The sequence below is a fragment of the Homo sapiens genome, chromosome 13 (assembly GCF_000001405.40).
Source record: "Homo sapiens chromosome 13, GRCh38.p14 Primary Assembly".
Taxonomy (NCBI): Eukaryota; Metazoa; Chordata; class Mammalia; order Primates; family Hominidae; genus Homo; species Homo sapiens.
Genome location: NC_000013.11, coordinates 52,396,805 through 52,424,202, shown reverse-complemented (window position 1 = coordinate 52,424,202; position 27,398 = coordinate 52,396,805). Strand labels below are relative to the sequence as shown.

General features: G+C 41.8%; 2 protein-coding genes and 1 pseudogene across 5 annotated transcripts in view, besides 1 other annotated feature; 2 read left to right on the top strand and 1 right to left on the bottom strand.

The window, feature by feature from the left end:
• Positions 1-11,597, top strand: part of VPS36 (vacuolar protein sorting 36 homolog) — a 38,029-nt gene extending 26,432 nt beyond the window's left edge. For all 3 annotated transcript variants that reach the window (NM_001282168.2, NM_016075.4, NM_001282169.2), the window contains exons 10-14: positions 564-629; positions 6,147-6,211; positions 7,062-7,146; positions 8,110-8,186; positions 8,280-11,597. In NM_001282168.2, coding sequence (NP_001269097.1) covers positions 564-629; positions 6,147-6,211; positions 7,062-7,146; positions 8,110-8,186; positions 8,280-8,373 — 387 coding nt within the window. In that variant the 3' untranslated portion in view covers positions 8,374-11,597. The remainder of the gene's footprint in view (positions 1-563; positions 630-6,146; positions 6,212-7,061; positions 7,147-8,109; positions 8,187-8,279) is intronic.
• Positions 17,942-18,101: a silencer, noted in NCBI's record as "silent region_5384". NCBI's record gives its function as "represses an Ori minimal core promoter by ATAC-STARR-seq in GM12878 lymphoblastoid cells {active_cell/tissue: GM12878}" and the evidence as "EXISTENCE:reporter gene assay evidence [ECO:0000049][PMID:35858748]".
• Positions 18,031-27,398, top strand: part of THSD1 (thrombospondin type 1 domain containing 1) — a 29,006-nt gene continuing 19,638 nt past the window's right edge. For both annotated transcript variants that reach the window (NM_199263.3, NM_018676.4), the window contains exons 1-3: positions 18,031-18,172; positions 21,522-21,660; positions 26,009-26,971. In NM_199263.3, the coding sequence (NP_954872.1) occupies positions 21,603-21,660; positions 26,009-26,971 (1,021 nt within the window). In that variant the 5' untranslated portion in view covers positions 18,031-18,172; positions 21,522-21,602. The remainder of the gene's footprint in view (positions 18,173-21,521; positions 21,661-26,008; positions 26,972-27,398) is intronic.
• Positions 24,107-24,199, bottom strand: RNY4P24 (RNY4 pseudogene 24; annotated as a pseudogene).

Genomic DNA, 27,398 nt, shown 5'->3' with positions numbered 1-27,398 from the left:
AGAGCCCCTTTTTTCATTTAAGTAAATGTTAAAATGGTAATGAGGCCAGGCACAGTGGCTCACGCCTGTAATCCCAGCACTTTGGGAGACTAAGGTGAGCAGATCATTTGAGGTCAGAAGTTCGAGACCAGCCCAACCAACATGGTGAAACCCTGTCCCTACTAAAAATACAAAAAAATTAGCTGGGTGTGGTGGTGCATGCCTGTAGTGCCAGCTACTCAGGAGGCTGAGGCAGGAGAATTGCTTGAACCCGGGAGGTGGAGGTTGCAGTGAGCTGAGATTGTACCACTGCACTCTGGCCTGGGTGACAGAGAGAAACTCCATCTCAAAAAAAATAAAAATAAAAATAAAAATAAAGTGGTAATGACATTAAAATGCAAGTATTGAATCTAAACTGCCTTGTGGTATCTGAATAGGTTCTCCTTTGTATAAATAAAGTTTTTTATAAGCTTCTTAAAAATTTTTCTGATTTCTGATTTCACTGTGATTATGATTTCTGTTAAGAAATGCTAACTGGTGTAATTGTAACATAATACTTTTTTAAAAATTTCATATTTGAACAGGAACGAGGGGGAATAATGTCACTCACGGAGGTGTACTGCTTAGTAAACCGAGCTCGAGGAATGGAAGTAAGGATAGAAAATTTAAATACTCTTTTAACCAAATGTAGATTTTCTTAATACAAATTCCGAATACAATTTGAGGAAGGGTTGTGAATATCAAAGCTATTTTGAGAAGCACTGTGGTACAGTGAAAGAATACTGTCCTGGGATCTAGGAGGTAGATTCTTTTCCTGGTTTTGATAGTGATTTGCTTAGTGACCTTCAGTAGCTTACTTAGCATCTCTGAGACTCAGTTTTCCTTCTTCCTCTTTTCTTTATTTTTATTTTTTGCTATTCAAAACTTTTTCTATTTTTCTTTATAATTGACACAATAATTGTACATATTCATGGGGTACTATATGGTGTTTCAGTGCATGTAAACACTGCATAATGATCAAATCAGGGTGTATTAGTCCATTTTCACGCTGCTGATAAAGACATACCTGAGACTGGGCAATTTACAAAAGAAAGATTTAATTGGACTCACAGTTCCACATGGCTGGGGAGGTCTCACAATCATGGCGGAAGGCAAGGAGGAGCAAGTCACATCTTACGTGGATGGTGGCAGTCAAAGGGAGCTTGGGCAGGCAACTCCTATTTTTAAAACCATCAGATCTCATCAGAAACATTCGCTATCACCAGAACAGCACAGGAAAGACCCGCCCCCATAATTCAATCATCTCCCACCAGGTCCCTCGAAAATATGTGGGAACTATGGGAGCTACAAGATGAGATTTGGGTGGGGACACAGAGCCAAACCATATCACAGGGCAATTAAGATATTCATCACTTTAAACATTTATCATTTCTTTCTGGTAATAACATTAAAAATCCTCTCTTGTCTGTTATATGCAGCCATAAAAAAGAGCAAGATAATTCTTTTGTGGGAACATGGATGGAGCTGGAAGCTATTATCCTTAACAAACTAGTGCAGCAACGAAAGCCAAATACCCATATTCTCACTGATAAGTGGGAGCTAAATGATGGGAACTTATGAACACAAAGAAGGAACAACAAACACTGGAATGTACTTAAGGGTAGAGACTAGGGGGAGGGAGAGGAGCAAAACAGATAACTATTGGGTACTAGGCTTAATATTGATACCTAGGCAATGAAATAATCTGTACAGCAAACCCTAGTGACACGAGTTTATCTGTGTAGCAAACTTTCACATATACCCCCTAACTAAAATAAACATTTTTTAAAAAAGCAAAGATAGAATCAACCTAAGTGTCCATCAGTGATGAACGGATAAAGAAAATGTCAGATACATACAAATGGAATACAATTCAGTCATAAAAAAAATGAAATCACATCATTTGCAGCAACATGGAGAAACTGGAAGTCCTTATGTTAAGTGAAGTAAGCCAGACACAGAAAGACAAATATTGCATGTTCTCACTCATGTGCGAGCTAAAAAAGCTAATCTCATGGAGGTAGAGAATAGATGATAGATATCAGAGACTGGGAAAGGTGTATAAGTGGGAGCGGGGAAGAAGAAATGTTGGTTAATAGGTACAAACATACTGTTAGATGGAATAAATTCGAATGTTCAATAGCAGAGTAGGGAGGCAACAATGTATTGTATATTTCAAAGTAGCTAGAAGGGAGGACTTGAAATGTTCCTAAAACATAGACATGATAAATACATCAGGTAATAGGTACCCCCAAATAACCCTGACTTGATCATTACACATTTTATGCATGTGTATTAATAAAAATAGCCCCTGTACCCCATAAATATGTAAGATATTATGTATCAATAAAAAGTACTCAGGGCTGGGCACGGTAGCTCACACCTGTAATCCCAGCACTTTGGGAGGCTGAGGCGGGCAGAATACCTGAGGTCAGGAGTTCGAGACCAGTCTGGCCAACATGGTGAAACCCTATCTCTACTAAAAATACAAAAAAATTATCTGGGTTTGGTGGTGTGTGCCTGTAATCCCAGCTACTCAGGAGGTTGAGGCAGGGGAATTGCTTAAACCAGGAAGGTGGAGGTTGCAGTGAGCCGAGATTGCGCCATTGCACTCTAGCCTAGGCGACAGAGCAAAACTCCATCTCAAAAAAAAAAAAAAAAAACCTACTCAGAAACAGAAAAAAAAAAAAGAATACACTGCATTGCCATTATCTAGTCACCCTGTGTAATATAGCAGCAGAACTCATGCTTCCTGTCTTAACTGTAACTTTGTATCTGCTGACCAACCTCTCTCCATCCCCTCCTCCCACCTACCCTCCCCAGCCTCTGGTAGCCACTCTTCTACTCTCTACTTCTATGAGATCAACTTTTTTAAGATTCTACATGTAAGTGAGATCAAGTGGTGTTTGTCTTGCTATGTCTGGCTTATTTCACTTAACATAATATCCTCCAGGTTCATCCATGTTGCTGCAAATGAAAGGATTTTATTCTGTTTTGTGCTGAATAGTATTTCATTGTATATATGTACCACATTTTTTTTAACCTTTAAAATTTTTGTTTTGTTTTGTATTTTTGAGACAGAGTATCACTCTGTAGAGTGCAGTGGCACAACCTTGGCTCACTGAAACCTCTGCCTCCCGGGTTCAAGCAATTCTTGTGCTTCAGCTTCTCAAGTAGCTGGGATTACAGCCGTGTGCCACCACACCAGGAGAATTTTCATACTTTTAGTAGAATCGGGGTTTCCCCATGTTGGCCAAACTGGTCTTGAACTCCTGACCTAAGGTGATCTACCCACCTTGGCCTCCCAAACAAAGTGCTGGGATTACAGGCATGAGCCGCCATGCCCGGCCCCCAAATTTTTATTTTTTCTTTTTTATGGATACATAATAGTTGTACGTATTTATGGGGTACATGTGAAATTTTGATACAAGCATATAATGTGTAATGACCAAATCAGGGAAATTGGGGGTCTGTCACCTCCAGTGTTTATCATTCCTTTGTGTTAGGAACATTCCAATTCCACTTTTGTAGTTACTTTGAAATATACAATAGGGCCGGGTGCGCTGGCTCATGCCTGTAATCCCAGCACTTTGGGAGGCTGAGGCAGGCAGATCGCCTGAAGTCAGAAGTTCGAGACCACCCTGGCCAACATGGCGAAACCCCATCTCTACTAAAAATACAACAATTAGCCGGGCGTGGTGGCAGGCACCTGTAATCCCAGCTACTTGGGAGGCTGAGGCAGGAGAATCGCTTAAAGTAGGGAGGTGGAGATTGCAGTGAGCCGAGATCACGCCACTGCACTCCAGCCTGGGCAACAGAGCAAGACTGCATCTCAAAAAATAAATAAATTTAAAAAAAAGAAATATACAATAAATTATTGTTAACTATGGTTTCCCTATTGTACTACTGAATGCTATATCTTATTCCCCCCCTTTTTTTTTTTGAGACAGTCTTAACTTTTGTCACCCAGGCTGGAGTGCAGTGGCACAACCTCGGCTCACTGCAACCTCCACCTCCCTGGTTCAAGCAATTCTCCTGCCTCAGCCTCCCAAGTAACTGGGAATTACAGGCGACGGCTACCACGCCTGGCTAATTTTTGTATTTTTAGTAGAGACGGGGTTTCTCCATGTTGGCCAGGCTGGTCTTGAACTCCTGCCTTCAGGTGATCCACCCCCCTTGGCCTCCCAAAGTGCTGGGATTACAGGCATGGGCCACTGCATCTGGCCTCTTATTCCTTCTAATTGTGTTTTTGTACCCATTAAACCAACCTCTCTTTATCCCTCCTTCCCCACTACTCTTCCCACCCTCTAGTGACCATTTTTCTACTCTCTATCTGCATGAAATCAATTTTTTTAACTCCCACATAATGAGTGAGAACATGTGATATTTGTCTTTCTGTGCCAGCTTACTTCACTAAACAATGTCTTCCAGTTCTATCCATGTTGTTGCAAATGATGTTGACTGTTGTGAATAGTGCTGCAATAACCATGGGAGTGCAGATTTCTCTTTGATACACTCCTTTCCTTTCTTTTGGATATATACCCAGCAGTGGGATTGCTGGATCATGTGATAGTTCTATTTACAGTTTTTTGAGAAATCGCCATACTGTTTTTCATAGTGGCTGTACTAATTTACCTTCCCACCAACAATGTGTAAGAGTTCCCCTTTCCCCACATCCTTGCCAGCATTTAGGGAGCTAGTTTTCTTACCTTTAATATAAGGGCTTGGACTGAATGAAACTGTTCAGCTCTAATATTTTCTCTCTGTATTGTGATAAATAAAGTTGTTCAGGAAGCCCTTCCTCTGCAATAGTTAACTCTTTTGAATCAACTCGGTTGGAACAAGTTGCCTTGTAGATAATGCAGAGGGAAAGCTGCCCTGCCCCTTTGGCTGGGTATCAGCAGTGGCTATTCTTCAGCTGTTCTTCCTCCTTCACATCCAGATGTCCTTAGCCTCCAAGGTTCTGTCTAGGTATTCTTTGTGCCCCAGCAGTCACCTCCATGCAAATGGCTCACCCAGTCCCATGAATTAAGCCCCTGCTCTGTGTTTTTATCTGAATGCTGATCATAGCTGCCATTAGTCAGTACTTACCATCCACTGGACACTCTGCATGTGTTACCTCATTTATCCTCCCAATAACTCAGTGACATGGCTACTTTTAGTGTAGGGGATAATTTGAAGAATAGGAAATTGAAACTTAGAAAGATGAAATAACTTGAGCAAGGCCACAGCCAGAGACAGTGGTTTGACAGGTATTTGGATCTGGGCTGGACTGGCTCTGGAGCCATCCTGTGGGACTGAAAGCTGTGCTTGTCATCACCACACTATGCTGATTTGTTAAGGCTGCACTGTCCACAAGGATAGCCACATCATGTGCTGACTGGGGACTTGAAATGTAGTTAATCCAAATCAAGATATGCTGCAAGTATAAAAATGCACCAGATTCAGAAGACTTCGTACAAAATAAGGAAATGTTAAATATCTCATTAATAATTTTTTGTATTGATTATATGTTGAATTGGTTCTATGTTCAATCTTAAAATATATGCATTAAAATTAATTTCATGTTTCTTTTTACTTTTTTACTTTTTTTTTTTTTTTTTTTTTTTTTGAGATGGAGTCTCGCACTATCGCCCAGGCTAGAATGCATGGTGCGATCTCGGCTAACTGCAAACTCCGCCTCCTGGGTTCAAGCAATTCACCTGCCTTAGCCTCTCGAGTAGCTGGGATTACAGGCACCCGCCACCGCGCCCGGCTAATTTTTATATTTTTAGTAGAGACGGGGTTTCACCATGTTGGCCAGGCCGGTCTCGAATTACTGACCTTGTAATTCACCTGCCTCAGCCTCCCAAAGTGCTAGGATTACAGGTGTGAGCCACTGTGCATGGCCTCTTTTTATTTTTTTAATGTGGCTACTATAAAATTTGCAGTGACATATGTGGCATGCATATTTTATTGGGTACCACTGCTTTAAGGAATAGAAGTCTTTGGTTCCTTTGTCAATCTTTTTTGCTTTGTAGTGATTAAATCACCTAAAATTATTGATAAATGGTAATTTTAAAATATACTCTTCTGTTTTAGTGATCATTACCATTGTATAGCATTACTGGATTTTTTTTCCCTATTAGTTGCTCTCACCAGAAGATTTAGTGAATGCGTGCAAGATGCTGGAAGCACTGAAATTACCTCTCAGGTAAAGGAACCTCTGCAGGAAGTTTGCCACCTGCAACCATGATTCTGCATGGGGTAGATGGGAAAGCCCAGCCAAGTTTGCCATCCCTAGTGTCAAGCCAGATTATTTCTCTTGAAATTATATTATTTCATGTTTATCAGGGCTGGGCATGTCCTAACAGGGCTAGGAGTCAGACTCTTGTGGATTTGGGGGAATGAAATAAGAATGTGGGTTCTTCCCATGAGATCAGAATAACTAGCCCCTCTTCCCTTAGACATTTTGTGTTAGTCTCTGGAGATGTTCAGCTGTGAATATTATTTTCCTTATTCTTAGGTTTAAAAAAGTAGCCAGGTGGCTGGGCGTGGTGGCTCACACCTGTAATCCCAGCACTTTGGGAGGCTGAGGCGGGCAGATCACCTGAGGTCGGGAGTTCGAGACCAACCTGACCAACATGGAGAAACCCCGTCTCTCCTAAAAATACAAAATTAGCCAGGTGTGGTGGCACATGCCTGTAATCCCAGCTACTGGGGAGGCTGAGGCAGGAGAATCGCTTGAACCCGGGAGGCGGAGGTTGCGGTGAGCCAAGATCATGCCATTTGCACTCCAGCCTGGGCAGCAAGAGCGAAATTCCTTCTAAAAAAAAAGCCAGTAATTTTATTTAGCATGTAGATTTTAGTTCATAATTTTATTATCTGTGTATTCATGAGCTGTTTATGCCATTGTTGCTTGGGTTTGATATGTTTTAAATGTTGTTTTGTTTAATATTGCCCTCATATCTGGGCATAAAAGAAGGTATAAAAGATGTCCTCCTTTTCAGCAGTTGAATATCCTAGATAATTCCTGGCTTTGTTCTCGCACCTGTGGTTTTCAGGCTCCGTGTGTTTGACAGTGGCGTCATGGTAATTGAGCTTCAGTCTCACAAGGAAGAGGAAATGGTGGCCTCGGCCCTGGAGACAGTATGTGAAGCCGATTTTCTCCAGTCTTTAGAGCTTGCTATGAAGACCCGAAGGCTTAGCAACTCAAAAAACAGGATTTCCTTTTGAATTTAACTTTACTGAAAAAGTAACATTCACACACCCAAATAAAAATGGTTTATCACTAACAATGAATCAATATTAACCAAAGTCATACATTAAGAGCTTTTTGAAACTTCTTGACACTCTTAACATCTTACATGTAAGGAGAATTAGAATTAGTGAGTGAGGTGCTTTCTTTTCTATTAAAGCTCAGTATTGAGAACAGGTTTTTAACTTTATCAGATGTTACAACACAATTAAACTTTGTCTTCCAGTAACACCTACATAAGCAGCTTGATAAAACGCCACAAGTTTTATGAAAATAATTGCTTCAAAAAATATAAAAAGCAACTGTAGTTTAGATGGATTTTACTGGCCAAACTGCCAATATTACTCATTAGGATGCTTGAAATAGTACTGTCTTCATAGCTTCTATGGTGAGCCTGTATAATTTGAATAACTTATATTTATTATCCTTCTCATTTTCAACTAGATGAAAACCCCAAGACTACAGATATTTCTACCACATATTTTAAACTAAACCCATATGTAAAGTCCCTTCGCTGGAGCGTTAATATGTACTCAGAATTTGTTACATATTCCTTTTCAGAATATCAAATAGTTCTTTTTAGGCTTTAGTACAGTGACTGTTACATTATAGAGAGCTTGATCTTGATATTTGAGCCTCTACTATGTCTCTTCTGGGTACTTCAACTTTTGTAGGATTAAGCATTAGTTAAAATTTAGTTATAGTGTGAATGTTCTTTGGATTTTAGTAGGACATTCAGTAAATTATTTCTTGCATATACTGGTATACATTCTGCCTACCATTAGAACCCAGAGTGTGTTTAAATTAGTGTCCTAAATTAATTACATTTTTTTTCTGCTGTGTGTTTCTATTAGGTTTCAGAAAAGGGATCCCTAACATCAGAAGAGTTTGCTAAGCTTGTGGGAATGTCTGTCCTCCTAGCCAAAGAAAGGTAAGTAAGGTTCTTACCTTTCATTACAATGTATGTTTGTGTGTCTGCATGAACAGATAATTGTGTGGGGGTTTTTTTGTTGTTTTTTTTTAGGTTGCTGCTTGCAGAGAAGATGGGCCATCTTTGCCGTGATGACTCAGTGGAAGGCCTGCGTTTTTACCCAAATTTATTTATGACACAGAGCTAAGGGTTTTGTATTTAAAATCCTTTTTGTCCATATGCTTGCGTCATGTAGAGGTTGTATGACATTGAGCTAAGAGATAAACCCCGATCAATTGAGAATTTATTGGAACTTCACAGTGCAATGTAAATCTCTTTTAATTTCTCACTAAATATGGTCCAGGAAATTTATTTAGTATACGCATAGGAAAATTCAGAAAAGTGAATGCCAATATGAATTTAAAATCATGCTATAGTGCAGAACCCTCAGAGTTTAACTTGGAATATAGTGGATTTTAACTTGATCCTCAAATCTAATCATTTTATAAAGAAGGGAATTTAGTTTTGCAGAGAATAAAAAGAGAAGTTGCATGTTCAGACAGGTTAGATTATTATTTTGGTGTAACTGAAATTCACTGATTGCACATGACAATGTTGGGACAAAATATACTGCAGCATGCTATATGAGGCTCCTCCCCAGGGCTTTTAGAAGCAGTCATAGACATGTCTTCAACATACCAAATAAAATACCTTTAAAAATGAAATAATTTTATTTGACACATATATTTATATATATTCTATCTAGTTTCTCTTTGTTTTTTTAAGTGATGATTTCATGACTGGCATTTAAAGAATGCAACTGTGTCATTTTGTTTCCAAATGCTGTGGATTTTGAAACTGAACTAGAGAGCTGTATAGACATGCCCAGAGTTATGATTACAAATTTAGGAGGTAGACGGCTCAGGAATTCCCTGGGATTGTTGTGCTGGTGGAATGGCAGAGGGAACTTCACAGGAACCTTAGTGTTCTTTTACCTCAAAGCCACAGACAGGAAATAGAAAGTGGAAAAGTAATATCTCCTTTTCTTTTCCATAAGGAGTTTCAACACTGAACTTTAAAAAGTCTATCATATTCCAGCAATATTTTTTCTTTGTCCTTTATGTTGTAAGTTGTGTGGAAAAACTACTTCGGTAAGAAATGTTACTGAGATAACAACAACTGGCTAATACTGCATGTAGATTGCTTAGGTTTTAAAGTGACTGCCTGACTTCACATGTTATTGCTACAGCCTCCAGTATGTTCGCATTATCTCAAACTCAGGGACCCCACAGGACAGGAGACACCCTTTCTGAAACTGAGTTGGAAGTGAAAGGGTGGTGATGGTTTTGGCCAAGCCTGCGGGAGGGAAAGTATTGTATTGGGAGCACCCTTGGGACCAGGAAGAGGGATGCCCAGGTTCACACTCTGGGACCCCTAAGACATTGTCAGTGGGTAAGGTGGAGGGCCACTGCCAGAGGCTGCTGCAGTGCCCTCTGGGAAGTGCCAGGGACCCTCAGCTGCAGACCCAGGGGATCCCAATCCCTTATCTCTGCCTGAAAAGTGGCTATTGCTGCTTCGTATCCTCCAGTGTCACAGGAATGCTGTGCCTGAGACATCCCACTTTAGTTTTTGTTTTCCAAACCTGTCACTGACTCTTCATTGTGGTGACAGATCCTCTGGTTCCCCCATTGCTCAGCCTCAGGTTTATTTTGAGGGTAACTCAGTGTCTGACTGCCCAAGTCTTTTAGGGGTTAGTTGGACCATTGTGTAAGCTTGTTTGTATGTCTCACCTCTTTCTGGTTGGTACTTACTGTCTCACACTGCTCTGGCAAACTTGTACACACACACACACTCTCTCTCTCTCTCACCTGGCTAAGGCTTTTAAAATTATGAAGATAAATAATCTGTTTCACCAGCTGGAGTGAGTTGCAAGGAAGATTGCTGGAGCTACTCAATCTAGCGCTAATGGTTTGGATTCATTACTGCAAACCTACATAATTTAACATATTTGTTTACTTTAGTGTGACAACTGATGAAAAAAAATGGAGCAATCTGAATTGTATAAAATAACTTAAGAAGGAAGAAAAGTGATATATAAATATATTTTGCAAATGTCACATTAATTTAAAAATGAGTATGATTGATTTTATTTTTAAAGTGGGCATTCTTCACTGTTTCGAGACCTTTGTATGTATTTGTGTATTTTTATCTTTTTTTTTCAGGCCATTATTATAAGGTGTTATTTTGGCCCTCTAATGTAGAAGTTATGTTTAAATACAACCAATCAGGCCCTAAGTGCAAAAAAGTTCTGTCTTGGTGCTTATCACTGGTATAATTATTATTTTTTTGTTTTCCTAACTTTGCTCTTAGGAGCATGAGCCTCTTTGTAGCTTTATGGTAATGCAATATTTCTGGTCATTTACTGTCAAAAAATTTTTTTACATTGTGTTAGTGAAGACTGTGTTTTCAGGGTTAAATGATTGGTATCAATGTATATAGAGTAAAATTATTGCAAAATTTAAAAATGATTTTTCTTGGCATTCTTTTTAAATACTCTGAAACATATATGCAAATGAGAAACCTTTAATCATACTAAAGCCAGTTATGTTAAGAATTTTTCCTTTGGATTTTATAATTAAGAGTTGCTTATAAATACTTATGACATTGAGCTCTTACTGTTTTAGTTGTCTTAAAACAATGGGACATGTCATGAACTGGTTTCTTTTTTTAAAAAATTCTTGATGTGAATTCCACTGTTACCTGACCATGTATATTCAGATGAATGTACTCTTTCTTGTTCCTTGTTACCAGATTAATCTGAGAGAATGTGGATTCATCCTGTCATCTTTCTCATACTCAAATACTTAAAATGGTTCTTTTGCCCAAAAGTCTCAGAGTCTTCATTTTGGTACAGTGGAGTCACAACTTGTAAGGTGGTTAGGTTTTAAAGACCGTGCCTAAGGACAAAATTGAGCATGCTCAGAATGGTCCTTGAAAATCTCCTAAATTACCAATAAATTTCTCTTTGTAGTCTTAAAGTTTAAATCCCTGTGGAGTGATATGTAGGTATGAATATATTATGCTTATATTAAGTACAAAAATACAAACTGCATATCAAGAGATTCTTATAGCATTAATAATTTCCATGCATGTGTCTTTTTCCAGTAGGTATGGTTGAATTTATGTAAATTTATTGCTAATCCCATCCCTTACGATCTAGAGTATAAGCTGCGCAAGGGCAGAAGTTTTTATCTGGTTTGTTCATGGATGTATTCTAAGAGCTGAGAACAGGGCCTGGACACAATAAGCATTCAATAAATATTTACTGAATGAATGAACTCCTACCTATATTCCTATTTATAATTTGGCTCCACTTTATCCTACTTTAGCTCCCATTCAATTCAATAAAAAAAACATTTTTTTGAACACATAGCAATTTTGTGTGAGCAGTTTTGTTGGGCACTGGTAGTGGGAGGGGATACAAAGATGAATAAGATACAGCTGTGTCCTTAAGAAAAGGGAAACCTAGTTGGGGAAACAGACATGTAAGCAACTTTCACTGAAGATGGAATGAAGTAAGTGCCATGGAAGGGGCATATGTGCCATGGAAGGGGCATATGTACCATGCTGGGGAAGACAGAAAAAGGAGCCCTTAGTCCTGGTGGAGGGCTTTGGAAGGGAAAGGAAGAACCTGGTAAACTAGGCTCACAAAGACCAAGAGATTGTCAGTAAGTGGAAGGTGTTGGGAAAAGGGAACAGCAGAGGTGTGCCCCTTCCTGCTCCTGGATATTTCCCTTGTCTGTCCAAACCTTTCTTTACTTCTTCCCACTCACCTCCCCTCTCCCACGCCCACCCCCACCAATCTAAATTATACTTTGCTCAATCCTGCCTGCATCAGAAATGTTTCCAATACACAGCTCTATTATTTCTAAACTCTACAAGAGTTACTGTCTTTTCCATATGCTTAACTATATTTTGTCTTGTTCTCTTAAATGTTGTCTTGATACCATAAGAAAATAGAGAAACTGGGTTTAAGTTCAAAGACTGTCGTGTAACATTTCTTTTGAATTCTCACTGACCTAGGTCAGTGACTACATGGTAGATTCCTAGTAAAGTATTAACTGAATTGAGTGATTTTTGAATTATAGTACTGAGTCATGCACGAGTTGCCTAGCAGACCAACTCTGTCTTTTACCCTCTTCCCAAGAGGTTTCTCAACCAGACTTGTCAAGGCTTAGCCTGTCTGAGTGAGATCTGCTCTGTCTTACTCAAATATGGCATGGGCCATGTCCATGATGTGGAAAGCACTCCAGAGTAGTTGTTATACACATGTAAGTTCTTGTTATTACAGTGTGGAAATTGAGCCATTCGTCTTCTTCCTTGTGTCCTGATACGAAATCATGAGTCAGTTATAGCTTTCATCTCAGAGCATTACCCAGAGACATAAAAGCTCTCTCCATTTGTATAAACGGAGTTATTGAGATAATGTATAAATTTTATACAATTTGCACAAGATTACTAGATCAGTCACTGACCCAGAAAGAAAACTGAAGGTATTTTGAGAGCCAGAACAGTTATAGTTCAATACTGACCATACCACTGTTTGTTTGAAAGCATTTTTTCCTTTGATTTTTATATTGCCTTCTTTTAGAAAACGTTAAACTATATCTTTTTTTTTTTTTTTAGTAGAGACGGGGTTTCACCATGTTAGCCAGGTTGGTCTCGATCTCCTGACCTCGTGATCCGCCCGCCTCAGCCTCCCAAAGTGCTGGGATTACAGGCGTGAGCCACCGCGCCCGGCCTGAAAACGTTAAACTGTATCTTAACTGTCCAATAAAGACAGCAGTACAGTTTGGCAAGAATTCTAATGGAGACAAAATTGACCAATCAGTTCAATAAAGCTGTTATTTAAAAAATGACCAAGCATATTGATAGAGCCACTTGTACCTGGATTTCCTCCCTTGAAGAGTAGCTTTTTGGGGAAAAAGTATGTGCCTGAAAGATTAATGCAGAGAAAGCTGCCTCCGATATGTTTCACTTAATCACTATAATATTTCACAATAACTATTATATGCTTTCTACAGTGAAGGGAAGGAGGGATTAAGAAATCTACCCAGATTTGCAGTGTCAGGGCTGGAATTTAATCTAGGCTTATCTAAAAGTGTATCTTTTTACTTGTATGCAGTGTAAGGAGGAGGTCCAACTTCATTCTTTTGCATGTGGCTATTTGGTTATGCCAGCACCATTAGTTGACCATTAAATGGTCTTGGCACACTTGTCAAAAAACAATTGACCATATGCTTGCATATGGGGTTTTTTGTTTTAAAAAGTAATTTTTAAAAACTCAATTGACCATAGATATGAGTTTCTGAACTTGCATTTCTAGCTATTTATCTATCTTTTTGCTAATATCACACTGTCTTGATTACTACTGCTTTGTAGTAAGTTACTTTTTTTTTTGAGACCGACTCTCACTCTGTCACCCAGGCTGGAGTGCAGTGGCACATTCTCGGCTCACTGCAACCTCCGCCTCCCGGGTTCAAGCAATTCTCCTGCCTCAGCCTCCTGAGTAGCTGGGACTACAGGTGTGTGCCACCATCCCCAGCTAATTTTTTTTTTTTTTTTTTTTTTTTAGTAGAGATGGGGTTTCGCTGTTGGTCAGGCTGGTCTCAAACTCCTGACCTCAAGTGATCCGTCTGCCTTGGCTTCCCAAAGTGCTGGGATTACAGGCATGAACCAGCCTGTAGTAAGTTCTGAAATTGGAAAGTGTGAGTCCTCCAAATACGCTCTTCATTTTCAAGATTGTTTTATCCTGTTCTGGGTTCCTTATACCCCCATATAATTTTTTTTTTTTTTCAGACAGGGTCTGGTTCTATTGCCCAGGCTGGAGCGCAGTGGCACAATCTCGGCTCACTGCAACCTCTGCCTTCTGGGCTCAAGCAGTCCTCCCGCCTCAGCCTCCTGATGGCTGGAACTACAGGTGCACACCACCACACCAGATAATTTTTGTACTTTTGTAACTCCAATGCCTGCTCTTTCCACTGAGCTTTTGCTTTTAAAACTGAAATGCCAGGGAGTGGGTGGTATGTATTTGAAAAAGAATCCTAGTGTAAATTGGTGAATGGAAATTAGACTAGATAATTCTACTGGCAGTGAAATTGGATGATCACCTTAAAGTCTTCTTTGAAACTTTGGATGGATTTAATTAGTATTGCTAGAAGTAACTATTTGACAAGATTGGTTGGTCTCACTCTGTCATGTAGGCTGGAGTGCAGTGGCGTGATCACTGTTCTCTGTAGCCCCAACCTCTCGGGCTCAAGTAATTCTCCCACCTCAGCCTCCAGAGTAGCTGGGACAACAGGTACATGCCACCACACCTGGCTAATTTTTTATTTATTTTATTTTTTGAGACGGGGTCTTACCCAGCCTGTGCAGTGGCATCATCTTGGCTCACTGAAGCCTCCACCTGGGTTCAAGTGATCCTCCTGCCTCAGCCTCCCAAGTAGCTGGGACCACAGGCACGTGCCATCACAGCCGGCTAGTACATTCTATTTTTGGTAGAGACAGGGTTTTGCCATGATGCCCAGGCTGGTCTTGAACTCTTGAGCTCAAGCGATCCACCTGCCTTGGCCTCCCAAATAATTTCTTATTTATTGTGGCGATGGAGTCTTGCTGTTTTGCCCAGGCTGGTCTAAAAGTACTGGGCTCATGCAAACCTCCTGCCTTGGTTTCCCAAATTGTTGTGATTACAGCCATGAGCCACTGCACCTGGCTGACAATATAAGTTCTTAGAAAATTTTATACCTCTGGTAACATATAAGTAAATACTTGTGCTACCTTTTTAAAAATGAAGTGATAGAGTCAAAGACCTGCAAATCACATATTTAAAAATTTTTTTTTAAATGAGGTACAGTTTACAAACTGTAATGCACAGATCTTCAGTCAGACAAGTTTTAACAAATGCTTAGTAAATCCATGTAACTCACACTCCAAACAGTAGAACATATCTGTCGCCCCCTAAAAGTTTCCTGGTGCCTCTTTCCTGTCATCGCTCTCCAAAGGCCACCACTGTGCTTTGATTTCCATTACCAGATATTAGTTTTGCTGTCAAATGGTATATTCTGCATACCGGATATTAGTTTTGCTGTCAAATGGTATATTCTGCATAAAAGAAAAGCAAGTGTTAAACCATACTGCATAGTTACTCAATTTAACAAGCACAGCTGTTAAGGTGGAATCTATCCTCTCATATATTCCCAAAAACTTAAAACTCTTTTTTAAATTTTAGTTTTAGATTTGGGGGTGCATATGCAGGTTTGTTACAAGGGTAATTGCATGTTGCTGAGGTTTGGGCTTCTATTGATCCTGTCACCTAGATAATGAACATAGTACTGAGAGGTGACAGCGTGCTGGCAGCCCTCACAGCCCTCGCTGGCTCTCAGCACCTCCTCTGCCTGGGCTCCCACTTTGGCGGCACTTAAGGAGCTCTTCAGCCCGCTGCTGCACTGTGGGAGCCCCTTCCTGGGCTGGGCTGGCTGAGGCTGGAGCTGGCTCCCTCAGCTTGCGGGGAGGTGTGGAGGGAGAGGCGCTGGCGGGAACCGGGGCTGCGCACGGTGCTTGCGGGCCAGCACGAGTTCCGGGTGGGTGTGGGCTCGGCGGGCCCGCACTCGGAGCGGCCGGTGGGCCCTGCCGGCCCCGGGCAATGAGGGGCTTAGCACCTGGGCCAGCAGCTGCAGAAGGTGTGCTGGGTCCCCCAGCAGTGCCGGCCCACCGGCGCTGCGCTCAATTTCTCGCAGGGCCTTAGCTGCCTCCCTGAGCAGGGCAGGGCTCGGGACCTGCAGCCCGCCATGCCTGAGCCTCCCCCACCTTCCATGGGCTCCTGTGAGGCCCGAGCTCCCTGACGAGCACCACCCCCTGCTCCACAGCGCCCAGTCCCATCGACCACCCAAGGGCTGAGGAGTGCGGGCACAGGGCGCGGGACTGGCAGGCAGCTCCACTTGCAGCCCCGGTGCGGGATCCACTGGGTGAAGCCAGCTAGGCTCCTCACTGGTGGGCACTTGGAGAACCTTTATGGCTAGCTAAGGGATTGTAAATACACCAGTCGGCACTCTATCTGGCTCAAGGTTTGTAAACACACCAATCAGCACCCTGTGTCTAGCTCAGGGTTTGTGAATGCACCAATGGACACTGTATCTAGCTACTCTTGTGGGGACTTGGAGAACCTTTGTGTGGACACTCTGTATCTAGCTAATGTAGTGGGGACGTGGAGAACCTTTGTGTCTAGCTCAGGGATTGTAAATGCACCAATCAGCGCCCTGTCAAAACAGACCACTCCGCTCTCTGTAAAATGAACCAATCAGCAGGATGTGGGTGGGGCCAGATAAGAGAATAAAAGCAGGCTGCACGCGCCGGCAGTGGCAACCCGCTGGGGTTCCCTTGCAAAGCGTGGGAGCTTTGTTCCTTGGCTCTTTGCAATAAATCTTGCTGCTGCTCACTCTTTGGGTCCACACTGCCTTTATGAGCTGTAACACTCACTGCGAAGGTCTGCAGCTTCACTTCTGAAGCCAGCGAGACTACGGACACACTGGGAGGAACGAACAACTCCAGACGCGCCGCCTTAAAAGCTGTAACACTCATGGCGAAGGTCCGCAGCTTCACTCCTGAACCAGCGAGACCACGAACCCACCAGAAGGAAGAAACTCTGAACACATCCGAACATCAGAAGGAACAAACTCCGGACAGGCCGCCTTTAAGAACTGTAACACTCACCGCGAGGGTCCGCAGCTTTATTCTTGAAGTCAGAAAGACCAAGAACCCACCAATTCCGGACACAGTACCCAATAGGATGTTTTTCAGCCCTTGCCCCTTTCTCTCCCTCCCTTGACTTGGAGTCTCCAGTGTTTGTTGTTGCCATCTTTATGTCCATGAGTACCCGTTGTTTAAGCTCCCACTTATAAGTGAGAACATTCGGTGTTTGGTTTTCTGTTCCTATGTTAATTCACTTAGGATAATGTCCTCCAACTGCATCCATGTTGCTACAGAGGACGTGATTTTGTTCTTTTTTTATGGCTGTTTAGTATTTCGTGGTGTGTATGTACCACATTTTCTTTACCCAGTCTACTGTTGATGGGCACCTAGGTTGATTCCATGTCTTTGCTATTGTAAATAGTACTGTGATAAACATAGTGCGGGTGTCTTTTTGGCAGAATGATTTATTTTCCTTTGGGCATACACCCAGTAATGGGATTGCTGGGTCGAATGATCTTTCTGTTTTTAGTTGAGAAATCTCCAAACTGCTTTCCACAGTGGCTGAACTAATTCACATTCCTATAAAAAGAACTTTAACACTTGCAGAGTAGAGTTTTTAAAATGTTTAGTTATTTTTAATACCAATTCTGACCCCAGGGAAAGAAAATGGAGATGCACTTTACCTGAACTATGTTCTTTTGAAACTCTTCAGTGACATTTGGGAAAGCAAGTTTACAGCCCACATGCTGTGCCGCTTCAAGGACTTATTTTTGTGGTCTCCCTGAAGAAAATGACACTAGAGTAGAAGTGATTGAATGTGAAGTGTCAGGAGATTGCTCGCTCGTCCTTCGTTAAACCCCTGGTCCGGCTGTGTGCTGTGGATGCGGGTGTGTGTTGAGGGGACCTGCGTCTGCCGGGGCCGCACCCCCTCCCGCAGGACCTTGGCTGGCCGCGCGTTTCCTGCCTGTTTCCTGTCCAGCAGCTGGCGAGCTGGGGACCGGCAGGAAAGGATGCGCTGCCCAGAAGGGGCGGGAACCGACCACGCCCGGTCCCGTGTGCCCCCCGCCCTCCCGGCGCCCGCCCTCCCCACGCCGTCGGGGGCGGGCCCCGCGGGGCTGTGGGAGCCGAACGCCGCGGGGTCAGGGCGTGCAGTCTGGGACGCGGGATGCTTGGCGCTCTACCTCGCCGCCCCTGAGCCTTCCCGTCCGCCTCGCCACGCGCCCGGACGGCCTGGGGTTGCTGCCCGTCAGTCTCGAAAGGTAAGAAGCGCCCTCCGCATCCTGGTGTTCGCGCCCGTGCCGCGAGACTCTTGGAGGCTCCTCTGGGGTCGGGAAATGCCTCCGGACTCTGCCACCTCACCGCAGCCTGAAGGCGCAGGTGGACGGTGGCGGCCCCTCCCCACACCCGCCTCGGCCCCAGGGGACGCTTTTAAGGGGTATTGGTCTCCACACTTCGGAGTCCCGAATTTAAGTGAACCTGGCTCTGCCTTGGCTCAGATGTTGCCGAGTGACTGAGACTGGCCACAGAACCTTGAAAAATCGCGTCTTGAGCTACTGTTTCTTTCCAAAAAGAAATCCTTTCTGATATACAAAAAGTATGAAATACAAGGATTAAATTAAATTAAAGACGGTCCTCATTAAGGAGGGCTTTAAGCTGACGACGCGAGGGGTAGACTTCCAGGCGTGAACTGGGCTTGCGGGCATTTGGGAAGCTGAGTAGATGGGGCGAGCCAGGGCGTCCCAGGAACGCTGCACCCAACCTGTGGGACCAGGGCAGAGCAAACTCGAATGAACAGATAAATGAAGCCTGTTTACACGAGCTGCTTTAGAACTAGAGATTTCCTCCCAATAAATACTATTGGTATATATACACACAAGCATGTGCATGTTGGTCAGAAGGGACAAAATAACTGCTTCGTTTTCCATTTTATTCTTTCACGAATCATTGGTCCCATGGACATTAGTGTAATTCATTTACTTTTTCTGCAGCTATGAAGGGAGATTTAGAAGCGTTTGTCCTAGCTGGTTTCAGCAAAAACATGGGGTCTCAGGTTGGGTGATGCTGTTAGCCATTGAGAATATTCACAACTTTTCCCCACCTTCTCAGCTGATGCATTTAGAATTTGTCTCTAAAGTTTACATACAAGAATGCTAGGTAGAAGTATTTTCAAATGTGTATAAAATATATCTAAGTTCTTAATTTCTTAGAACAATTCTCAATGCAAACATTGTAAGAAGTCAGTCGAGGTATTGAGAACAACATGTTGAAAGAAAATAAGCAAGGTAGAAAGAAATTAAAGAGACATATTATGACTAATGTTATGATCATATTCCATATTATGATTGACAAGTAGGCTGGTCTGTTTTATAAGTCTTTTTCCATTCAGCTCTAAATATAGATTGTCTCACCATTCTATGTTTTACCGATCATTTTCATAAGAAAGAAAATGTGTTATAATCACTAAATCAGTAATGATTTGGGGCTTCAAAAATAAAAATGTTATTGTCGTGGAAGCAAACAAATCTGAGAGAAGCCAGTTCAACTTTTGGGAGCTTGCTTCTTCTTAGTTTGGTTACCAGGTCTCAGTGACTTAAAAGAAGCATTGTAATTGTCTTAAGTGCTCACACTTGCCCAAGTGATGTGATGTGTTCTGCAAGGATCTTACTGGCTGACTTTGCCCAGGTTTCCCAGTCCATGTTCGAGGAAAGAATTGGGTCAAGTCTGTGGCTAATTCCACCCAAAACAATTTTCTTCTTCTTTCCTTTCTTTTCTTTTTTTTGGGTGGGGGTGGCGGGGAAGAGGAAGGAGCCCTAATCTGCATAGTTACACTTCAAATCTCTGTTTCCCTTTCAGGAAGTACAGTATTTCCTTTGTTCAGCAGCTCTTGCTGAAAGAAAGCTAATAAGACACACCAGTTTCCCTTCCATTGAATTCTGGCTTATTTCAATCAGTCTTCTTAATTCCACTAATTTGTGCTCTTATCTGAAAAGATGTAACATGTATTTGGAATATAATATACTTGCTTATTAAAATGATTAACTGTGGGCTGGGTGTGGTGGCTCACGCCTGTAATCCCAGCACTTTGGGAGGCCATGGTGGGCAGATCACGAGGCCAGACATCTGAGACCAGCCTGGCCAAAGTGGTGAAACACCGTTTCTACTAAAAATACAAAAATTAGCCAAGCGTGGTGGTGCACACCTATAATCCCCGCTACTCAGAAGCCTGAGGTGGGACAATCACTTGAACCTGGGAGGTGGAGGTTGCAGTGAGCCAAGATCATGCCACTGCACTCCAGGCTAGGTGACAGAGCAAGACTCTGTCTAAAAAAAAAAAAAAAAAAAAAAAAAAAATGTGAATAATGGGGGGGACCTTAAACATTAAGAAAGTACATATTTGGTTATATTTAATATTAATACATAGTTTGCTAGACTCTAGTATGAAAGAACTGTCTTAAATGCCCAGTATCTTATTCTATAGTTGAATAGTCTATATAAAAATAAGTGCCTTTTCCAGCCGGGTGCGGTGGCTTACGCCTGTAATCCCAGCACTTTGGGAGGCTGAGATGGGCAGATCACGAGGTCAGGAGATCGAGATCCTGCCTAACACAATGAAACCCCGTTTCTACTAAAAATACCAAAAATTAGCTGGGCATGGTGGTGGGCGCCTGTAGTCCCAGCTACTCGGGAGGCTGAGGCAGGAGAATGGCGTGAACCCGGGAAGCGGAGCTTGCAGTGAGCCGAGATCTCGCCACTGTACTCCAGCCTAGGCGACAGAGTGAGACTCCATCTCTAAATAAATAAATAAAATAAAATAAGTGCTTCTTCCAACAAATAACTGAACCACAGGCCAGCAAGGTCTTCCCTGCCCTCTTAGGTAGACTGGGAAGATTGCTGTGTGAACCACCGATCTCGTGATGCATACCAGCAGCAACAAGTATTGCAGGACTGATGAAGATGATTGTTATTTGTCTGTTTTCTCCTTAGGCTGCCCTAAACAAGGGAAGTCAGGGCCACATGGAGTTCATATTTAATTGTAGTATTCTGGGGTATCTTTTTTTTAAAAAAGCTTTGATCACTTGGATGTAGCTCCTAGGAATTGATAAATGAAGCAATCCTGGTAACACACCAATTGTGCAAGGAAATGTTAGCCCATTTGTGGACGCCAGGCAGGGAGCATTTGGGTATACACAGCACAATGCTAAATTAAAGTTTAGCAGAAATTTAGTAAATTGATCAGTGTGAAATGCCAAGCAGATAAATAATGTGAAAATGTATCCAAATTGGCTATTAACTTTGATAAAATTAAGCAAATAACAATAAACTCTCCACGTCAGGATGTGCTGTAAAGAGAAGAGACTTTGGTGTTGTGCAAAGATAATTTTAGTGGGTGTTGGGCATACCTGCATATTCTTGACCTGTGAGTTATAATGGAATGAAAAAGGCTTGTATAATTATAAGTCATTGCCCCAGGGAAAATTAGTGTCCTCTCTAGTTTCCTTTCAATATCACTTAGAAAGTTTGAGTTTTAGAATGGTTTTGTCATTTAATGATTACTATTTTATCAATCACATTGAACGGAGCCATCATTTTTTGAGGTTCTAATTTCAGGTGTTTTTGGGGAAAAAAATCACAATCTGGACGTGAGAAAGGACATGAGGAGACTAAAGACCTGGGATTTTGTCAATCAGAATGAAACCAATGTTGAAAGACTTTTCAAATCTATTGTTGGTGGTACTCTGTGACTATGGTGAGTATTGTGAGTATACTTAACGCTACTGGTAGCAATAAGACATAAAGATGACATTATAAATGCATTGATGTTGATGACTCTTCCTGAAGGAGGCAGGGTAGGGTATATAGTGCAGTGCTTTCTCAACTGTGACCCTTGCAACCCTGGGTTCTCTTATGCTTCAGTGATTCTGCATGATTGATTCGTATTTCATTTTATATTTTTAACTCTTAAAAAAATAAAAAAACCAACTCTCTCAAATTTTAACAAATTGGAGGCAAGCATGTTACCTTGAGTTCTCTTTGATTTCCCAGTAATTAAGTGTGATAAATCACTTCATACACACATGCAATGATGTTGTGTATATTAGGGTTCTACATAAGATTTCACTTGACCGAGTTTTGGTGCTAACATACATTTGGACCCAATCTGAATTTCAATCCTTGAAAGTTGCGTGCTCTTAGAAAAGTTTCTTAATCTCTTTCAATCTCAGCAATAATATTGACTTTACAGGGTTGTTATGATAATATCAAGAGTGCAAAACACCCTGAATGAGCAAATAGTAGGTGCTTAAAGTCTGTTCTCGTCATTCGTTTCACCTAAAAATTGAGTTCATTTCTCAGAGAGCTTTATACAACTACTGAACAATAGAGTCAACAATATGATATAATCTTCACTACTTTTGATGATTTCCAAATATTTCATAGACATCTAAGCAGTTGATTGCATGGCAGTGGAAGTTGTTTTTGAATTTGGTAAAGAAATTGTGATCCAAGATATAGAGGACACTGGCTTGTGTAATGTGAATGGCATAGCTGGTTAAATGGACCAGAGCCTGTGCTGTTCATTTCATTCAGTAGACCTCCTTTCTCAGTCTTTTCTTTTTTAAGAAGTTTATTTATACAAGAAGACACCGGATTTAAGGAAAGCCAGTGTGGGATTCATTTATTTTAAAGTAATTTGGCCGGGCGCGGTGGCTCATGCCTGTAATCCCAGCACTTTGGGAGGCCGGGGTGGGCGGATCACCAGGTCAGGAGACCAAGACCATCCTGGCTAACATAGTGAAACCCCATCTCTACTAAAAATACAAAAAAATTAGCCGGATGTGGTGGCAGGTGCCTGTAGTCCCAGCTACCCGGAAGGCTAAGGCAGGGAATGGCGTGAACCCGGGAGGCAGAGCTTGCAGTGAGCCGAGATCGCACCACTGCACTCTAGCCTGGGTGACAGAGCGAGACTCTGTCTCAAAAAAAAAAAAGTAATTTATCCCTTCTTAAAAACCGATTACTCTGGCTGGATGCAGTGGCTCACGCCTGTAATCCCAGCACTTTGGGAAGCCGAGGCGGGCAGATCACGAGGTCAAGAGATTGAGACCATCCTGGCCAACATGGTGAAACCCCGTTTCTACTAAAAATACAAAAATTAGCTGGATGTGGTGAGACGCACTTGTAATCTCAGCTACTTGGGAGGCTGAGGCAGGAGAATCACTTGAACCCGGGAGGCGGAGGTTGTGGTGAGCCGAGATCATGCCACTGCACTCCAGCCTGGGCAACAAGAGCAAAAGTCCGTCTCAAAAACAAACAAACAAAAAAACAAAAACAAAAAAACACAGATTACTCTACATGTAACAGCCTTCTACAAAAAAGTATGTGTTCTTGGTTTCATAATGATAAATAAAGCATCGAAATTCTCCATTTAAACAAATTATACAAGGGTGTTTGTTGTTAATAGCAAAATTTCTTACTGGAATATGAAAATGAAAGTTGAATGAGCATAAAAAAAGAGCATAGAGGTTGAGTGCACAAGCCACTGATAAAAAAAGTAGGTATTGTCGTAGATCTGTTTTACCCTGCTTTATCTCTACTTAATACTGATCAAAATTTAGCATTACCTGTATATTACAGTAGTCAGGATGTGGTAGAACCAAATTGTAGTTTTTTGTTTGTTTGTTTGTTTGTTTTTTTGAGATGGAGTCTCGCTGTTGTCGGCCCGGGTTGGAGTGCAATGGTGCAATCTCGGCTTACTGCACCCTCCACTTCCCGGGTTCCAGCAATTCTCCTGCCTCAGCCTCCTGAGTAGCTGAGATTACAGGCGCCCATCACCATGCCCAGCTAATTTTTGTATTTTTAGTAGATTCAGGGTTTCACCATGTTGGCCAGGCCAGTCTTGAACTCCTGACCTCAGGTGATCCACCCATCTCGGCCTCCCAAAGTGCTGAGATTACAGGTGTGAGCCACCGTGCCTGGCCCAAATTGTAGTTTTCTAACAGGAGCTCTAAAGTAGCAAATTCTCCCTCTAGTACATACCTCCTATCTGCTGCTGCTGGAACTCATCAATTGCATCTTTGTTTTCCATTTCCAACGGGGCATGTGTGTCTTTTTCATTGACTGGCTCCCATCAATCAGAATCTGATCTGCTTCACTGACAATCCCTGTCATACACAAGAGACTGCTTTTTTTTTTTTTTTAAGCCAGTCAAATTTAGTAGTTGGGGGTCATATACCAACTTTGGTGACACTAATGTTAATAAGTTCTGATAACCTGCTACCATCGGACCAGCCTGCAATAGACTTTCATTAGTTAACTAAGTGGTGTATGCCTCTTATTCTTAAATGGACCACAGAACCATCCTGCCCCCTTCAGATCCAAATTAGTATGACTTTGTTCTCAGTCTTAAGCACTTGCTTGGGCTGTGGTAAGTGCTGGGGTCTCTTTACACAGTAGTTCAAGAAAGGTACCAGGTTGGGTCTGATCCAGTACACAAGCTGCACCAGAATCAGCCACCTTCCTCAACTTTGAGTCATCTCCAAACAAAAGGGAATATCCCTCAACTTGTTTTTGCTTAATTGGAGAAAAAAAGAACTTTATCCTATTATGGTTTTCAAACAAGTGATAATCAAGCATTCAAGTCATCCAAGTTTTATGTCTTTTATTTCACCTCATCTCAAATGAGAACTAGGTGAAATGCTGTGCTAATTAAAAACTCCTCTGTGTGCCAAGGTATTCATGTGCTGATTCTAATAATCATTGATTGCATATATATAAGGGTATTTTAAAGACTGCAACCCCAAACAAAAAAACACATGGGCCCCTTTGGACATATATATTCATGAGGCATATATAATAAGAATAATAAATTCATACTTCCACAAGTTGTTTTTCAAACCTAAAGGGAACTTCAATCCCTTACATCTAGAACTGTTTCTTACCCTAGCCACGGGCCAGCTGACTGTTGTATTGCCAAATTCTGCCTCCTTTGATATATATTTGGATGGGATTCAAAATAGAAACAAGGATTCTTGTGTGTCTATTCTTTGCACTTTTCACTTAGGCTGCTCTGCTGGGTCTCTTTTTAAAAGATATGATTGATCCTTACAGAATGATACTTGAGAAGTAGTAGTCATCTGTCCTATTTAGGCAAATAAAAGTTGCTGTAATGTCATTAAATTGCCAAGGACAAGCCTAGTTATTTCAGAAATGTTCACCCTATCCCTTCGGTTATCCATGCAGCATAAAGTGTCAACATTTCTTATCCATCTAAATATGTCTGCCTCATACAAACTGAGGACACTGATTCCTTTATTGGTAAAAATTCCCCAGTGCTTGTCTTGAATATCAGTAAATAATAACTTTGAAATAAATTTAGGGTCTTACATTTAAAATAATCCAGAACAATTTGTATTGTGTCATTTAAATCAAGCTTTCTCTTCACTGTATATCCATTTTCCCCAAATATCTAAACACCAGAATCTTTGATTAACAATATGAGATACTGGGTTTTTAATCCTAAAAATTATTATTCTGGCTGTATAGATTTTCATTGCAGATATATCACATTGTTGAATGTTGTGAATTCAGAGTATTTACCACTAATTATTTTAAACCTAACTATGAAAGATGAAGAAGGAACAGAACCACTTCCATGGAAAGAGCACAATGGCCAGCTTCCAGGATCTGTGCTCAGTATCATTTTACATCATCCCTGGCTCAGTTCTAACTTCTCTTGTCTAAAATGCTGTTTTCTGCTGGGTGCAGTGGCTCATGTCTATAATCTTAGCAGTTTGAGAGTCTGAGGTGGAAGGATTGCTTGAGCCCAAGAGTTTGAAACCAGTCTCTACAAAAAGAAAATTAGCTGGGTGTGGTGGCATGTGCCTGTAGTCCCAGCTATTCGTGAGGGCGAGGTGGGAGATCGCTTGAGCCCAAGATGTTAGGGGTACAGCGAGCAGTGATTGCGCCACTGCACTCTAGCCTCGGTGACAGCATGAGACCCTGTCTCAAAAAAAAATTTAAAAATTCTGTTTTCATCAATGTCACTAATAGTTCTTCTCAAATGCACCTTTTAAAAACCAATTCTGACCACTTCATTTCAGTTCTTGGAGAAGCTGAATATCTTCTCTTGAGAGAGCCAGGCCATGTAGCACTAAGCAACGACACAGTGTATGTGGATTTCCAGTATTTTGATGGTGCTAATGGGACACTGAGGAATGTATCTGTCCTGCTGTTGGAGGCCAACACCAATCAGACTGTAACTACCAAGTACCTCCTGACCAACCAGTCCCAGGGAACACTAAAGTTTGAGTGCTTCTATTTCAAGGAGGCTGGTGACTACTGGTTCACAATGACTCCAGAAGCAACAGACAACAGCACTCCATTCCCCTGGTGGGAGAAAAGTGCCTTTCTGAAGGTGGAATGGCCTGTCTTTCACGTTGACTTGAATAGGAGTGCCAAGGCAGCAGAAGGCACCTTCCAAGTGGGCCTATTTACCAGTCAACCACTGTGCCCGTTTCCTGTGGACAAGCCCAACATCGTAGTGGATGTCATCTTCACCAACAGTCTTCCTGAGGCAAGAAGAAATTCAAGACAGCCGCTGGAAATAAGAACCAGCAAAAGGACAGAACTTGCTCAAGGTCAGTGGGTTGAGTTTGGCTGTGCACCCTTGGGGCCAGAAGCCTATGTCACCGTGGTGCTGAAGCTGCTTGGGCGAGACTCAGTCATTACCTCCACAGGACCCATTGACCTGGCCCAGAAATTTGGATACAAACTGGTGATGGTGCCAGAACTCACATGTGAGTCCGGGGTAGAGGTGACAGTGCTGCCTCCACCATGCACCTTCGTCCAAGGAGTGGTCACTGTCTTCAAGGAGGCCCCCAGATACCCTGGGAAGAGGACCATTCACTTGGCTGAAAACAGCCTGCCCCTGGGAGAGAGGAGGACAATTTTTAACTGTACTTTGTTTGACATGGGGAAGAATAAGTACTGCTTTGACTTTGGCATTTCAAGCAGAAGCCATTTTTCTGCAAAGGAGGAGTGCATGCTAATTCAGAGAAATACAGGTTTGTATTGAGATTTTTTTAACATTTTAAATCAAATCCTTCATGTAATCAAAATTATTTAGAATTTAGGTGAAATTTAGGTGAATTGTACCATCATTTTTATGGTTCATGCCTTATAATGTACCAATTGGCATTATCACCCTTAGCTGAAAAATTAAGAGTACTGGTAAACCTACTTAACCTCTTTACATCTCATTTCCCCATCAGTAAAATAGGGGCAATACAAGTACATACTTCAGAGTCGTGGAGATTGAACGAAATCAACATGTAACACTCTCAGGATAGTGCCTGGCATTTAGGAAGTGCTGAATAAACATTATATTAGATTTTTAAAATCCCATTATTAAATCATATGGTAAGTTAATGGCAGAGATTATTGGAATTCAAAGCCAAATCCCAAATTAGCAACTTCTGTCCTCCTCTAGCT